Source organism: Homo sapiens, chromosome 2, assembly GCF_000001405.40.
Source record: "Homo sapiens chromosome 2, GRCh38.p14 Primary Assembly".
Lineage (NCBI taxonomy): Eukaryota > Metazoa > Chordata > Mammalia > Primates > Hominidae > Homo > Homo sapiens.
The window spans coordinates 61,802,847-61,819,436 of NC_000002.12; the positions used below are offsets into that span (position 1 = coordinate 61,802,847).

General features: G+C 45.3%; 1 protein-coding gene and 1 pseudogene across 2 annotated transcripts in view; one reads left to right on the forward strand and one right to left on the reverse strand.

The window, feature by feature from the left end:
- FAM161A (FAM161 centrosomal protein A) overlaps positions 1 to 16,590 on the reverse strand; it is a 53,821-nt gene that overhangs the window by 2,607 nt on the left and 34,624 nt on the right. The window contains exons 7-8 of one of the 2 annotated variants that reach the window (XR_007082540.1): positions 14,222 to 14,445; positions 14,032 to 14,139 (exon numbers count right to left, since the gene is read on the reverse strand). The gene's annotated coding sequence lies outside the window, so the exon portion shown is untranslated. Of the gene's footprint in view, positions 1 to 14,031; positions 14,140 to 14,221; positions 14,446 to 16,590 lie in introns of those variants that run through there. The other variant, XR_001738972.3, reaches the window with a different exon arrangement.
- RPS24P7 (ribosomal protein S24 pseudogene 7) lies at positions 180 to 687 on the forward strand (annotated as a pseudogene).

Sequence of the window (16,590 nt, forward strand, 5' to 3'; positions counted from 1 at the left end):
CTCCAAAGCATGGAAATAAAGGAAAAGTTTTAGTTATTGCAGGGGAAATTCCAGGCACCTAGTTAGCCCTGAGAAGTAAACCAGCAACTTGATTAGCAAGAAGGTAATAGTAGCTTAAAACAATAGCCAAGAAAGTTCGAATTCTGGGATGTTTTGTTCTCTATAGAAACTAAAGATAACTCTTCTCCTCCCTGGCTGTCTGAGGGTAGGCCACCATCATGAACTATCCTAACACATAGGATAGGACACAGTAACTATCCTAACTAGAAAGTTCATGACTACTTCAGAGGAAACAGATGCTCATTGATGTCCTTCATCCCGGGAAGGCAACAGTGCCTAAGACAGAAATTCAGAAAAAACTAGCCAAAATGTATAAGACCACACTGGATGTCATCTTTGTATTTGCATTCAGAACTCATGCTGGTGGTGGCTTTGGCATGATTTATGATTCCTTGGATTATGTAAAGTAAAATGAACCCAAACATACCAAACATAGACTTGCAAGACATGGCCTGTATGAGAAGAAAAAGACCTCAAGAAAGCAACAAAAGGAATGCAAGAACAGAATGGAGAAAGTCAGGGGTACTGCAAAGGCCAGTGTTGGTGCTGGCAAAAAGCCGAAGGAGTAAAGATATTGCAAGGATGTTATCTGCGGCCATTGAGGATTTTTCACAATAAGATTAATAAGGCCGGGCGCAGTGGCTTACGCCTGTAATCCCAGCACTTTGGGAGGCCAAGGCAGGTGGATCACAAGGTCAGGAGTTCAAGATCAGCCTGGCCAACATGGTGAAACCCCACCTCTACTAAAAATATAAAAATTAGCTGGGCATGGTGACACTTGCCTGTAATTCCAACTTCTCAGGAAGCTGAGGCAGGAGAATGGTGTGAACTCGGGACATGGAGGTTGCAGTGAGCTGAGATCGCACCATTGTACTCCAGCCTGGGCACAGAGAAAGACTCTGTCTCGAAAAAATAAATAAATAAATAAAAAGAGGCTGGGCGTGGTGGCTCATGCCTGTAATCTCAATGTTACAGGAAAGGGGTTCCCATCCAGACCCCAAGAGAGTGTTCTTAGATCTTGCCCAAGAAAGAATTCAGGGCAAGTCTACAGTGCAAAGCAAAAGCAAGTTTATTAGGAAAGTAAAGGAATAAAAGAACGGCTACTCCATAGACAGAGGAGCTCCAACGGCTGCTGGTTGCCCATTTTAATGGTTATTTCTTGATAATATTCTAAACAAGGGGTGGATTATTCATGCCTCCCCATTTTAGACCATATAGGGTAACTTCCTGACGTTGCCATGGCATTTGTAAACTGTCATGGCACTGGTGGGAGTGTAGCAGTGAGGACGGCCAGAGGTTACTCTCGTGGCCATCTTGGTTTTGGTGGGTTTTAGCCGACTTCTTTACTGCAACCTGTTTTATCAGCAAGGTCTTTATGACCTGTGTATCTTGTGCTGACCTTGTATCTCATCCTGTGACTTAGAGAATGCCTTAACCGTCTGGGAATACAGCCCAGTAGGTCTCAGCCTAATTTCTCCCAGCTCCTTTTCAAGATGGAGTTGCTCTGGTTTCACACCCCTCTGACACCAGCATGTTGGGAGGTCACGGTGGGTGGATCACCTGAGGTCAGGAGTTTGAGACCAGCCTGGTCAACACGGTGAAACCCCGTCTCTACTAAAAATACAAAATTTAGCCGAGCGTGCTGGTGTGCACCTGTAATCCCAACTACATGGGAGGCTGAGGCAGGAGAATTGTCTGAACCTGGGAGGTGGAGATTGCAGTGAGCCAACATTGCAACACTGCACTCCAGCCTGGGCGAAAGAGTGAGACTCTGCTGAAAGAGAGAAGAAAGAGAGAGAGAGAGAAAGAGAAAGAAAGAAAGAAGGAAAGAAAGAAAGGAAAAGAAAGAAAGAAAAAGAAAGAGAAAGAAAGAAAGAAAGAAAGAAAGAAAGAAAGAAAGAAAGAAAGAAAGAGAAAGAGAAAGAAAGAAGGAAGCAAGGAAGAAGGGAGGGAGGGAGGGAGCGAGAGAAACTAAAGATAACCTCCTAACAGATCCCTGAGTTGTTTTTCAGAAACATGGATGCCCAGCAAATGAATCCACTGGCACCTAGACCTCAGGTTAGGGGGAACTGAGGACTCAACTCTGACTGCCATTTTTTTTTTCTGAAGTTCTTTCTGGGGGGCCTGGAGGAAGTCACGCCCATGAGCCAGAGATAACATTCTTTTCTCCTGACCCCAAATTTTTAGACAAACCTTTTCCATCTTAACCAATTGCAAATCAGAAAATCTTTGAATCTCTGACCTGTAACCTGCCCCATGCCCCACCACCCACTTTGAGATGTCCCGCCTTTTTAGGTCAAACCAGCATATAGCCTCCATGTATTGATTTATGACTTTGCCTGTAACCTCTGCCTCTGCCTTTAAAAACTCTTGCCAAGGTGGATGTATCACCTGAGGTCAGGAGTTCGAGACGAGCCTGGCCAACATGGCAAAACCCCGTGTCTACTAAAAATACAAAATTTAGCCGGGCTTGGTGGCGGGAGCCTGTAATCCCAGCTACTCGGGAGGCTGAGGAAGGAGAATTGCTTGAACCTGGGAGACGGAGATTGCAGTGAGCCAAGATCATGCCACTGCACTCCAGCCTGGGCAGCAGACCAAGACTCCATCTCAAAAACTAAATAAATATAAAAACCCTTACTTGCAAGCCATTGGGGAGGTCAGGTCTTAAGTATGAGGTGCCTGATTCTTCTTGCTTGGTGCCCTGCAAAGATAAATACCGTTCTTCCTCCTATTGCAAACTGCAGAGTGAATGTTTGGCTTTACCGAGCCAGGTGTGCAGACCCCAGTTCAGTCCTGTACCAGGCACAGGTCCCTGCCCTCATGGAGCTGCAACTGCCAATGATCTGTTGCAGTGCCCAAAACAGACTTACCCAGAGGCAGGTTCTGGGCAATGCAAAAACACCAATCTCATTCTTTTATTGCTAGGTTTTTTTTTTCCTAAGCCAATACTATTAGTTTGGTTACATATCTTATTCACTAGGCTTGTTATCAAATTACTTATGTTACTTTTTAAAAATTAACCTGTTCTCAGCCAGATGTGGTGGCTAACACCTGTAAATCCAGCACTTTGGGAAGCCAAGGCAGGATGATCATTTTAGCTCAGGAATTCAAGACCAGTCTGGGCAACATGGCAAAACTCCATCACTACTAAAAATACAAAAATTAGCCGGGTGTGGTGGCACATGCCTGTAATTCCAGCTATTCAGGAGGCTGAGGCAGGAGAATCGCTTGAATCTAGGAGGTGGAGGATGCAGTGAGCCGAGACTGCACTACTGCACTCAAGCCTGGGCGACAGAGCAAGATCCGTGATCCGTCTCAAAAAAAAAGAAAGAAAGAAATTGCAATCTGGAAGGATGGTTAGAACCATTCTTTTGAGGGCGCCATCGCTACTTAAAAACATGCATGTTGAAGTTCTGTTTAAAAACTCACATTATTTTTTAGTCCCAGGTTAAGAGTGTGGCATTACTTTACAATGAACCGCCTTCAGATGTGGCAGTGATTGCCCTTGCCCCCTATTATTCTGTCGTTGTCATTGTGAGATATTCATTTTAAACACCTAGAGAAGGGAAAATTAATCATGTTTTAAAATCAGATAAAGCATTAATGGTCATGAAATTTTAATACTGATTCTCAGTTTTTAGTTTTCACACAGATGAAACTTTCTTATTTAGAGATAAACCTAGGGAAAGATTTAATGAGTAATTGATATTAAAAAGTTGAAATCACATGTAAGCTCTAATTTTTTCACATGAAAGCAATTTTGCTTTCCACGTCTTTTTTTTTTTTTTTTTTTTTTTTTTTTTTGAGACAGAGTCTGGCTCTGTCGCCCAGGCTGGAGTGCAGTGGCGCCATCTCGGCTCACTGCAAGCTCCGCCTCCGGGGTTCACACCATTCTCCTGCCTCAGCCTCCCGAGTAGCTGGGACTACAGGCACCTGCCACCATGCCCAGCTAATTTTTTCTATTTTTAGTAGAGACGGGGTTTCACCGTGTTAGTCATGATGGTCTTGATCTCCTGACCTCATGATCCACCTGCCTCAGCCTCCCAAAGTGCTGGGATTACAGGCGTGAGCCACCACACCCAGCTCAACATCTTTTTATTTGAAAGAATTGAGCTCACATTTGTCAGATAAATTGCTGCCTAAATTATCTAAGATGATTTTCACATTCTTGTGTGGAAATCAAATTTTGCAAGGTTGTAGAATTAACTTAGAAGAGACAAAGGTGTGTTCTTTCTTTCAGGAGGGCTTGCTAATTGAAGTTGAAGCATCAGATGTCCTGAAAGCACTCAAACTCATCAGGTAACAAAAGCCCAGACAACGGAAATGAAGCAAAGCAAGTTAGTTCTTGAAATGAAACTCTGGAAATCCCAACTTGAGCAAATAAAGAGGCAGAAAAAAAAAAACCTAGAAAAAGAATAAATCACAAAATAAAAGGCACTTAGGAAGGGAATTTTTTGTTTAAGTATTTATTTAGTTTTTTCCATTATAAGCATTGCGTAGATTGTGCTATGCTTTTGAAATTGTAAAAATATGTCTGTTTGTTGTATGTCTCTTCTCTCACTACTTGAAAATGTAAAAAAGAACATTTTCTTGCCTGTATCTTACATGTGCAGGATTACAAGCTCAGATGCTTGCTGGGCCAATCCCAAAATAGGCTCTGCAAAGTGGGGGACTTTGCAGAGCCTATTTTGGGACCCTGAAAGGGTTAGCTGCCTCTGGACTCCAGATTTTTTTTTTTTTTTTTTTTTGTTGAGACAAGGTCTTGCCCTGTCACCCAGGCTGGAGTGCAGTGGCGTGAATCATGGCTCACTGCAACCTCCACCTCCAGGGCTCAAGCATTCCTCCCACCTCAGCCTCCTGAGTAGCTGGGACTACAGGCACACAGCACCACACCTGGCTAATTTTTGTATTTTTGGTAGAGACATGGTCTCACTATGTTGTCCAGGCTGGTCTCAAACTCCAGGCCTCAAATAAACCTCCTGCCTTGGCCTCCCAAAGTTTTGGGATTCCAGATGTGAGCCACTGTGTCCAGCCAGACTCCATTTTTTGCCACACAAAGTGTGGGCCCAGTGCTGCTAGACATTTGGGTATTCCAGAGAACAGTGTCCTGGTCTGGGGTCCCCCAAAAGCTGACCCTGAGACCAGGATTGGGTACAAGGATTTATTTGGGAGGTGATGGCAGGGAGCTCAGTGATGGCGTGAGGCAGTGACATGGCCACCTGCTGTCTGCCAATCTCTGAGGGGGCAGAGATAGGAAATTGCCTTATCTTTTCAAAAGAAGTATTTTGAGGTTTCAGTTATTAACAGGAAATATAGTTAAAGTTTCATAGTAACTGCTTACAGACAGTGGGAAAGATTATTATTATTATTTTTTTTTTTTTTTTGAGATGGAGTCTTGCTCTGTCGCCCAGTCTGGAGTGCAGTGGCACGATCTCAGCTCACTGCAACCTCTGCCTCCTGGGTTCAAGCAATTCCGCTGCATCTGCCTCCCAAGTAGCTGGGGCTACAGGCGCCTGCCACCATGCCTAGCTAATTCTTTGTATTTTTAGTAGAAACTGGGTTTCACCATGTTGGCCAGGATAGTCTCGATCTCCTGGCCTTGTGATCCACCCTCCTTGGCCTCCCAAAGTGCTGGGATTACAGGCATGAGCCACCGTGCCTGGCCGGAAAAATTCTTTAATTTTGAGCTGAATCCAGAGTTTTCAGTTGGCTCTTTTTCTTTTAGGCATAGAATACAGTATTCAGGAAATTATAGCATTACTACATTCTGGAATGCCTGACAAGAATAAGTTTAGGAAGGCTTGGAGGAGAAAAGGTAAATTGCTACTCTTTGGGGAAGGGGAGGAATCAAAGCATTCTGGGTAACATAAAATGAGGCACAAATAGCGAGGCAAGATTTGGGAGGGAGTGGGGAGTGGAGAAGACCAGAAAGACCCAATCACTAGTTAATTGTAAACAAACACTGTAATGTTGACTTTTTTTTTTGAGACAGAATCTCGCTCTGTCACCAGGCTGGAGTGCAGTGGTGTGATCTCGGCTCACTGCAACCTCCCCCTCCCAGGTTCAAGCGACTGTCCTGCCTCAGCCTCCAGAGTAGCTGGGATTGCAGGCACCTGCCACCACACACAACTAATTTTTGTATTTTTAGTAGAGACGAGGTTTTGCCATGTTGGCCAGGCTGGTCTCAAATTCCTGACCTCAGGTGATCCACCCACCTCAGCCTCCCAAAGTGCTGGGATTACAGGCATGAGCCACCGCGCCCCGCCTAGTGCTTTTCTTGGAACACTCTCTCCTTGGCCCCCGGACACCACTGCTGGTGTCCTTACCTGCTGCTTCTTCTCAGCCTCCTTTGCTGGCCCCTCTTGCTCTCCCTGGCCCGTCAACACTGCAGTGGCCTGGGGCTCAGCCTTCTGACCTCTTCTTTCTACACACATTCCTTATATGCTCTTGTCCAAACTAGGACTCTCTTTGTTTACATATATTTCAATGACTCCCAAATTGAGTATCTCCAGTCCAGACCTCCCTTCTGAATTCCAGACTCATAAATCCAACTGCCAGTTCAAAGTCTCCACTTGGGTTCCTCCAGGAAGCATCTCCGTTAGCATGTCTATGGAAGAGCTTTGATTCCTACCCACCCCAGCTTAGTTTGGATTCCCCCAAAGGCAGACTCTGAGACAAGGAGATCCGTAGGGAATTTGGGGGTTGGGGGAGATGGGTAGGTTGTTTGCAAAGATGGCCTTAGCATTCTTTCCTTCTTGTATGACATTTCCTTTGCAATGTGACTTTGACTTCCCTGCCACCAAGAAGTGGAATTTGTCTCTTCACCCTTTGAATCTGGCCTAGCACCTGAGCCCTGCTTTAATGAAAAGAATGCAGTAGGAGCAGCACTGTGGACCTCATGAAGCTTCGCAGCTTCCACTTTTGTCCCTTTGGAACACTGCCCAAGACTGCCATGTGAAGAATCCCAGTCTAGCCTGGTGGAGGAGGAAAGGGTATTGGGACTACATGAGCCAACCCATCTGAGGCCTTTTAAATCAGCCAGCTGACAGCTAGTGTCTACCATCTACCATTGGAGGGCATCTTAAACCTTCCAGCCCCAGTCAAGCCACCATATTATTGTAGCCACTGAGTAAGCCCAGGCAAGACCAGCAGAAAATTTGTCACCCAGTTGAGTCCAGCCCAAATTGTTGACCCACAGAATCATGAGCAAAAATAATGGCCATTGTAAACCACTATGTTTTGGGGGTGGCTTATTATGCAGCTGAAACTAAATTATACAGGAGGTTATCCCAGGAAGCACAAGTGAGGAAATAATAGAAGTAAGACAGAGAAAGGAGGAGAGTTAATAAGGGGTGCTCTAAGGAGCAGGTTATTACTGTGGGCAGTTAAAGCTAAATCCTGCTGGATACCCTCTGAAGAGTCCTGTAGAAGCCATCTCAGAACAGTCTCTCCACGGAAAGAGAAACCAGGTTACTCACCCAATAATTCCTTACCCTACACCTCACTGGCCAATGGTTCCCTGGGGGATTTAGGTCCCCAGCACTTCCTTTTTTTTTTTTTTTTTTTTTTGAGATGGAGTCTCACTCTTGTTATCCAGGCTGGAGTGCAATGGTGTGATCTCAGCTCACAGCAACCTCTGCCTTCTGGGTTCAAGCAATTCTCCTGCCTCAGCCTCCTGAGTAGCTGGGATTACAGGCATGCATCACCACACCCGGCTAATTTTTTGTATTTTTAGTAAAGAGGGGGTTTCTCCATGTTGGTCAGGCTTGTCTCGAACTCCCGACCTCAGGTGATCCACCTGCCTCAGCCTCCCAAAGTGCTGGGATTACAGGCATGAGCCACCACACCTGCCCTGGTCCCCAGCACTTCTGATCTGCTGTGCAGCCAAGCTGAACAAGGTCCCTGGCAATGGAGAGATCTTGCAGGCAGGGAAGTAGAGGAATGAGGGTGAACTTGAGGTGGAAGCCATCAGTATTTATGGGAACTATCCACCCTGGCTGCAAGTAAACTCAGAGGTAGGCCAGGAGGATGCAGGACAGGACATCACAGCATCTGCTAACTTCCCAAACCCATTTCTTCCCCAATTCAGTAAGTGGCAATACCATCCTCCAATTGCTCCCCACAGAAACTTCATCCTTGGATGCATTAATTTCTTCTACACTCCACATTCAAATCCTTTTAGTGTTACCTTTGAAACATATCCTGAATCCAATATTTCTACCTCCTCCACTACAACTCTGGTCCAAGCCACCAGCAACTCTCACTTGGATTATTGGATTATTGCAACCATCTATTTATTATTTTTTTATGAGACAGAGTCTTACCCTGTCACCCAGACAGGAGTGCAATGATGAGATCATGGTTCACTGTAGCCTCAACTTCCTAGGCTCAAGCAATCCTCCCACCTCAGCTTCCCAAGTAGCTGGGACTACAGGTATGCGCCGCCGCACCTGGCTAATTTTTTTATTTTATTTATTTATTTATTTAGATGGAGTCTCACTCTGTTGCCCAGGCTGGAGCACAGTGGTGCAATCTCAGCTCACTGCAACCTCTGTCTCCCACATTCAAGTGATTCTCCTGTCTCAGCCTCCCAGGTAGCTGCGATTACAGGCGTGATCCACCACGCCCTGCTAATTTTCGTATTTTTAGTAGAGACTAGTTTCTCCATTTTGGCCAGGTTGGTCTCGAACTCCTGACCTCAAGTGATCTGCCTACCTCGGCCTCCCAAAGTGCTGGGATTACAGGCATGAACCACTGCGCCTGGCCTAAATTTATTTTTTGTAGAAATGTGGTCTCACTATGTTGCCCAGGCTAGTCTTGAACTCTTGGGCTCAAGCAATCCTCCTGCCTCAACCTCCCAAAGTGCTGGGATTACAGGCGTGAGCCACTGTGCCTGGCCCAGAGTGACCATTTAAAACCCAAGTCCCTGCTCAGTTTTCAACCCTCCCAAAGCTCCCTATCTCACCCAGAATAAAATGCAAAATCTTTACTGTGTCCTAGAAGGCCCCATAGAATCTGCTATTTTTCTGACTTCACATTTTGCAACTCTCTCCACGTCTCACTGCTCTGGCCTCACTGGTTTCCCTGTAATTCAAAACCCCAGGCCCAGGGTACGTTCTGTTCCTCTATCTAAGATGCCTCCCCCAGTCATCCACAGAATACAGCCCTAACTTCCTTCTGGCCTTGACTCAAATGTCCGCTTATTAGAGAGGCCTTCTTGACTCTAACTAGGCAAACTCTCCCCCAGTCACTCTTCACCCCTTTACCTTGCTTTATTTTTCTTTATTAAACAACTGACATTACTTTTATACTGCTTATCTCCAATCCTCCCCCAACTGGAATGTAAGTTTTATGAGAATAGGGGCTCTCTTTTTTGTTTGCTGATGTATTCTCAGTACCTAGATTTTTTGTTAATTTAATGAATTAGTATGTATTGTGGGACAGTCTGATGATTTTATATGGATTATTTATAAGTTAGTGCTCTGGTTAAAATGAAATAATTAAAAGCCTCCAATAAAACATTCCATACTTTAGTCCAGGCGTGGTGGCTCACGCCTGTAATCCCAGCACTTTGGGAGGCCAAGGCGGGTGGATCACCTGAGGTCAGGAGTTCGAGACCAGCCTGGCCAATATGGTGAAATCCCGTCTACACTAAAAATACAAAAATTAGCCGGGCATGGTGGTGGGTGCCTGCAATCTCAGCTACTTGGGAGGCTGAGTCAGGAGAATCACTTGAACCTGGGAGGCAGAGGTTGCAGTGAGCCAAGATTGTGCCATTACACTCTACCCTGGGCAAAAAGAGCGAGGCTTTGTCTCAAAACAAAACAAAAACAAAAACAAAACAACAACAACAAACATTCCATACTTTAAAGAAGAATACTGGCCGGGCGCGGTGGCTCACACCTGTAATCCCAGCACTTTGGGAGGCTGAGGCAGGTGGATCACGAGGTCAGGAGATCAAGACCATGCTGGCTAATACGGTGAAACCCCATCTCTACTAAAAATACAAAAAATTAGCTGGGCGTGGTGGCAGGCGCCACCAGCTACTCAGGAGGCTGAGGCAGGAGAATGGCGTGAACCCAGGAGGCAGAGCTTGCAGTGAGCCGAGATCATGCCACTGCACTCCAGCCTGGGCAACAGAGCAAGACTCCGTCTCAAAAGAAAAAAAAAATGAATGCTTAAGTGTAAATTTGGTAGTGAATAGTCTTGTGTTATGTTCTTATGAAGATTAAAGTAACAATACCAGAAAAAAGTTATTCTAGGCCATGGCTCACGCCTGTAATCCCAGCATTTTGGGAGGCTGAAGATCACTTGAGCCCAGGAGTTCAAGACCAGCCTGGGCAACATAGAGAGACCTTATCTCTACTAGTAATTTTAAAAATTAGCCAGCTGTGGCTGGGCTGAGGTGGGCAGATCACAAGGTCAGGAGTTCAAGACCAGCCTGGCCAATATGGTGACACCTCGTCTCTACTAAAAAAAAAAAATACACTAATTAGCCAGGCATGGTGATGCACGTCTGTAGTACCAGCTACTTGGGATGCTGAGGCAGAATAATTGCTTGAATCCAGGAGGCAGAGGTTGCAGTGAGCTGAGATCATGACACTGCAATCCAGCCTGGGTGACACAGCAAGACTCCACCTCAAAAAAAAAAAAAAAAAAAAAAAGAGCCAGATGTGGTGGCATGCACCTGTGGTCTCAGCTATTTGGGAGGCTGAGGTGGAAGGATCACTTGAGACCAGGAGGGTGAGGCTGCAGTCAGCTGCAATTGTGCCACTGCATTCCAACCTGCGTGACAGAGCAAGACCCTGTCTCAAAAAAAAAAAAAAAAAGAAAAAAGAAAAGAAAAAAGTCGCTCTGATAGCTATATTGTTGAGCTGTTTGCTGAAACAGTGTGCTTGATTATTATGGATTTATGTATTGGTCGTTCACTCAAAAACATGGATTAAGCCCATCCTATATACTAGGCTCTGGGCCAGGCCTGGGGATAGAAAGTTGAAAGATAAAATCTGGCCTTCAGGGATACAACATCACAACAATTATGACCGAACCCTGAGGAGTTCTGAGCTAGCAGTGTGTATGAGGTGCCAGGCAGTCAGGGCTGCCACTCTCAGAGTGAGGTTAGAGATGCCAGAAAGATGCATCCTGGAGGCAGCAATGGGAGGGAACATGCAGAAGCCCCTCAGACTCAGTCAGGGGGCAAAGGGGAGCTCCACTGAGACAAGGAGCATGAGGTTTGTGGGTGGCTGGAGTGTCACCTACCAGTGAGAAAATTATTGCCTCAGAAATGGATTGGAATTCTGTATGTAAATTCTGTTCATCCAGAACTTATCCCCATTTTCTCTGAGTTCCTAGGTTCCTGACAGTTTGCTCTTTGAACTTTTTTGCTTCTTATTAGTTTTGTTAGATCTTTTAACTGCTTTCTGCTCACTCCTGAACTACAGAATGCCTTGATCAAAGATATTGTCATATCACTGAAATGCTTGCTGTAACATGAGTTGAAATGCAGTAGTGGAAATACTGTTAATACAGTTATGCTCAGACAACTGTTAGCACAATTGTAATCTGTATCTCTGCTTCTCTTCCTTTCCTCTGCTCGAGAGGAGTTTCAGACAAGCTAGGGCAACGTGACAAAACTCCGTCTCTACAAAAAATACAAAAATTAGCCAGACTTGATGATGTGCAGCTGTAATCCCAGCTACTTGGGAGGTTGAGGTGAGAGGATCGCTTGAGCCTAGGAGGTTGAGGCTGCAGTGAGCCATGATTGCACCACTGCACTCCAGCCTGGGCAGCAGGGCAAGACAGGAAGAAATAAATGCATGTTTGTTCAATATGCATGATCAGGACCCCCTTCATGAATATTCACAGCTCCTCCTACAACCTGTTGAGTGCGTATACTTGGCCAACTTCTGTATAAATCCCTTGCCAACCTCTTCTCCTTCAAAGAGTTTGCTTTTAGTTTTTCAGCCAGAGGCTAAATCCCCTTCTTAAGAAATACAGTTATCCTTTCCAGGGCTGCCACTCTCAGAGTGAGGTTAGAGATGCCGGAATTTCTCGTGATTTTTCAGCTGACAGTCTCTATCACTCTGAAGAGTGAGTGATCAGCTCCGTTTATCCAAATCAGTCACTATCTGTGGGTGTGCAGCTATTCCTTGATGCCTAGGGGTCCACAAAGAAGGAGTTGTTCCCATCAGATGACTAGGAGCAACCTTGGGTCAATTCTTTTATATAGACCTTAAGTCCACACAGCTTCCATACAATCAAGATTTTTCCTCCTCTAGGGATACTCATGGGATTAACAAATTACAGTTATAAATTACTGTTCTCTAGTAAGTCACACCATTATCTGGGAGGATCTTTCTCAGAGATATTCCATATAATTACAAAGTTAGGTAGAAAACCTTTGTCCAAATGCCATGCCAGTATGCTGTATGATGGCGTGCTTGGAGAGCAGGAAAGAACCTGTTCGTTGAATCCGCCTCAAGGGAGGGGACAACTCGTGACTAATGTCCTGATGGCCAACTGTGTTGCCCCAGGAAAGTGCGTACAAAGGGTCAGAAGCCTCTCCAACCTGAGCAAAGTGTCTGCTGTTTACTAGAAAAATCCTCTGTGTCCACCCTGAAAGATGTGTCTTTTTTTTTTTTTTTTTTTTTTTTTTTTTTTTTGAGATGGAGTCTCGTTCTGTCACCCAGGCTGGAGTGCAGTGGCGCGGTCTCAGCTCACTGCAACCTTCGCCTCCCAGGTTAAAGCGATTCTCCTGCCTCAGCTTCCCAAATAACTGGGATTACAGGCATGTGCTACCATGCCCAGATAGTTTTTGTATTTTTAGTAGAGACTGGGTTTCACCAGGTTGGCCAGGCTGGTCTTGAATTCCTGACCTCAAGTGATCCCCGCACCTCAGCCTCCCAAAGTGCTGGGATTACAGGCGTGAGCCACCACACCTGGCCTCTCTCCCTATGTTTTGTCCCTCCTTGTCCACTGTCTACCTCCTTTTACCCAAAGCAAACCAATCCTCCCAACAAAAATAATTGAAAGCCTATCCCTTTTTTCTGTGTCTTGCAAATTTTTCATCCTTAGGCTTCTATGGAAAATCAATGTCTTTTCTTGAGCCCTAAACCAGTTACTGCTGGCTCTGCAGAGAGGCTTCCTAAGCTCAAGTCTTGCTTGCTTTCCCCACAATCCCCACTCCCTGAGAGGAGGTAAGCTTGGATCTTTGGGTGGCAGTGAGACCTCCATTGACGTTGGCTTTCTCCCATAGCATAAACTCAAACACACCTCCATACTGAGGATGCATTTGTTCTGAAACTCCACATCTGAGCTATGCATAGAAGTCTTACTCCTGTGAACACACTTTTTTCACTTTATTTATTACCTTACATTCACCCTCCCACTGCCTGGGTCACATTAGCTCTCTGACCTTGACTGACAACAAAAGCATCCCTTCAACCCTTGCCCAAATCTACAAGTATCATCTTGACACTGGGGGAAATGGTGGTTTGGGGAGTTAGGATTTATTCTCTCTCTACCCTGCCCTACTGTAAACTGAGGGTTTTTTGTTTGTTTGTTTGTTTAATTGAGACAGGGTCTTGCTCTGTCGCCCAGGCTGGAGTGTGGTGGTGCAATCTCTGCCCACTGCAGCCTTGACCTCCTGGACTCAAGCAATCCTCCGCCTCAGTCTCCTGAGTAGCTGGGACCACAGACACACACCACTAGATGTGGCTAATTTTTGTATTTTTTGTAGAGACGGCGGGGCGGGGGGGTCTTGCTATGTTGCCCAGGCTGGTCTCGAACTCCTGGACATGATCTTCCCACTTCGGCCTCCCAAAGTGCTAGGATTACAGGTGTGAGCCACGGCCCTGGCCTGTGTGTACTTTAACTTGGAGCAAATGACCCTTCATTCTCTGCCCTACTTGCCTCGGCAATCACATTCCTGCAGTCACTCTTCACTCTAGCCACACTGGCTGCATCGGCCAGAGAGGAAGCAGGGAAAGCAGCTGGGAGTCAGTTGCAGGGGCCCCAAGCAGGCATTTTCCAAGTGGAGTCACACACCCGGAGTGGGAGGGGAGAAATATGCTCCATTTGCTGCAGAAAGAAACTGCAATTCGAAACTGAAATAGGTAGAACATTTATACTAACTTTATCTAAAAAAGAAATAAAGCTTTACCAAGATTTAATATGTGGTTTGTCACTGGCTGCTCACATGATCCATTCTCGGTCAGATGGCAGACGGTCAAGTGCCACGCGGGGACAGGGCCCTTCGCTTTCTTCGCATGGAATTTGGCCATGCCCCTCAGGTTGTGTGTGCCCTGTGAGTCGCTTCACAGATCATATTAGCAGCTTTCCAAAACCAGTCCTCACAAAACAGACAAGCGGCTTTAAAAGAAAATCCTGCAGAGAAACCTCAGACTGAAGATAATACTATTAACACAGCACAAGGAAACAAGAAAATGCAAGAATGCTTCTCTGTACCTGGTACAAGCTCTTAATCAGCCATATTAGGAGGAAAAACAATGGTGATCTAACCAATTCTTACTTTGGACTAAGCCAACAAATTCAAAATTATCAAGAAGATTATTGAAATAAGGATTTACATTCACTGTAATGAAAAACAAACCTCACCATATGTGAATACTGGATCCTGAGCACAGAGCCTGGTGGAGTCTCTTTTTCGCATGACAGACATTCAAGCCCAGCATTGAGATACACTCAGCTTAGGACAAATCCTTCAAGTTGCTTCATCACAAAGTGTTAAACCAACATTTTCAAAAACAAAGAAACATAGGCCAGGTGCGGTGGCTCATGCCTGTAATCCCAACACTTTGGGAGGCCAAGGCAGGAGGATGGTTTGAGTTCAGGAGACCAAGACCAGCCTGGGCAACATAGTGAGACCCTGTCTCTACAAAAAAATTAAAAATTAGCAGGTGCGGTGGCTTGCAGGAGTGGTCCCAGCTACTCAGAAGGCTGAGGTGGGAGGATCGCTTGAACCTAGGAGGTTGAGACTGCAGTGATTCTACACTGCACTCCAGCCTGGGTGACAAAGCAAGACCCTGTCTGGAACAAACAACAAAACCAAAACCAAACCAAAACAAGAAGCATATATGTTTCCCAGACCTAGAAACAATGACACCTAGTAACAATGAGTATACCTAACATTCAGATCCTTTTTTTTTTTTTTTTGAGTTGGAGTCTCTGTTGCCCAGGCTGGAGTGCAGTGGTGCAATCTTGGCTCATTGCCTCTGCCTCCTGGGTTCAAGCAATTCTCCTGCCTCAGCCTCCTGAGTAGCTGGGATTACAGGTGCCCACCACCACGCCCGGCTAATTTTTGTATTTTCAGTAGAGATGGGATCTCACCTTGTTGGCCAGGCTGGTCTCAAACTCCTGGCCTCAAGTGATCCACCCGCCTCGGTCTCCCAAAGTGTTGGGATTACAGGTGTGAGCCACCGTCCCTGGCTGGATCCTAATTTCTGAAGACCATTTTCCATTAAAAGGCTTCAGGGTCTGTCAAATAAATGGCCAATGCCAGGGCTGGGTCAGAGAAAGTACAAGATGATCCTTGGATTTCTTCTTGTTCCAGAAAGTAAGAAAGTGCACAAAGACTGAGGGAAAGATGTAAATAAAACACACAAACCAGCTTGTAGGGGCTCCCACTGGCCAAATTTAGGACAATTTGAGCATAATTTAAAAATTTTAATGATGGTAACACATTATAACACATTGAATAAATGAAGAATTTGTGCATCATGATGATACCTCACATAAAAGAGACTGGGAAGCTCTTCTTTACAGAGACTATCAGCTAATATAGAACACATAATAGAATTAGAAAATGACCATTTTGCAACCCCCAGCATAATAACTTATTCAGGTGAAGACCATCAAGGAATACTAAAACTGTTAGGTAAAATGTGTTGGGGAACAGGATGTTCACACCGTGTCAAGTATCCCCCTGACACTACCCGGTTACTTAAGCATCAAGGGATACAGTGCCTTTACAATGGAGAGAACTGATGGATAGCCCTTTAACCAAGTGATCAAATTTAGTGTCAATAATAATGCAACAAAGTGACATTCTGTGCCTCCCCACTTAATGTCATACAAAGTACACAAATTAGTTAGGTAGTATTCATGCCCACAATGTTTAACCAGAATCCAATTAAGCAAACAATTAGAGAAATCTAAATTACATGCCAGGCTACAGATGACTGGCCTGGACTCTTACAAAGTAACAATGAAATGAAAGACAAAAAAGGCAGAGAGCTGTCTAGACAAAAAGAGACTAAAGAGCTATCAAAACTAAATGCACCCACCAATTTGGGGAGCTGATCAAATGGGTGGATCACTTGATTCCTGGAGTTCAAGACCAGCCTGGGCAACATGGCAAAACCTGTCTCTGCAAAAAGTACAAAAATTAGCCGGGCATGGTGGTGGCGCATGCCTGTAGTCCCAGCTACTCAGGAGGCTGAGGAAGGAGGATCACTGAGCCCAGGAGGCAGAGGTTACAGTGAGCCATGATCCCGCTGCTACACTCCAGCC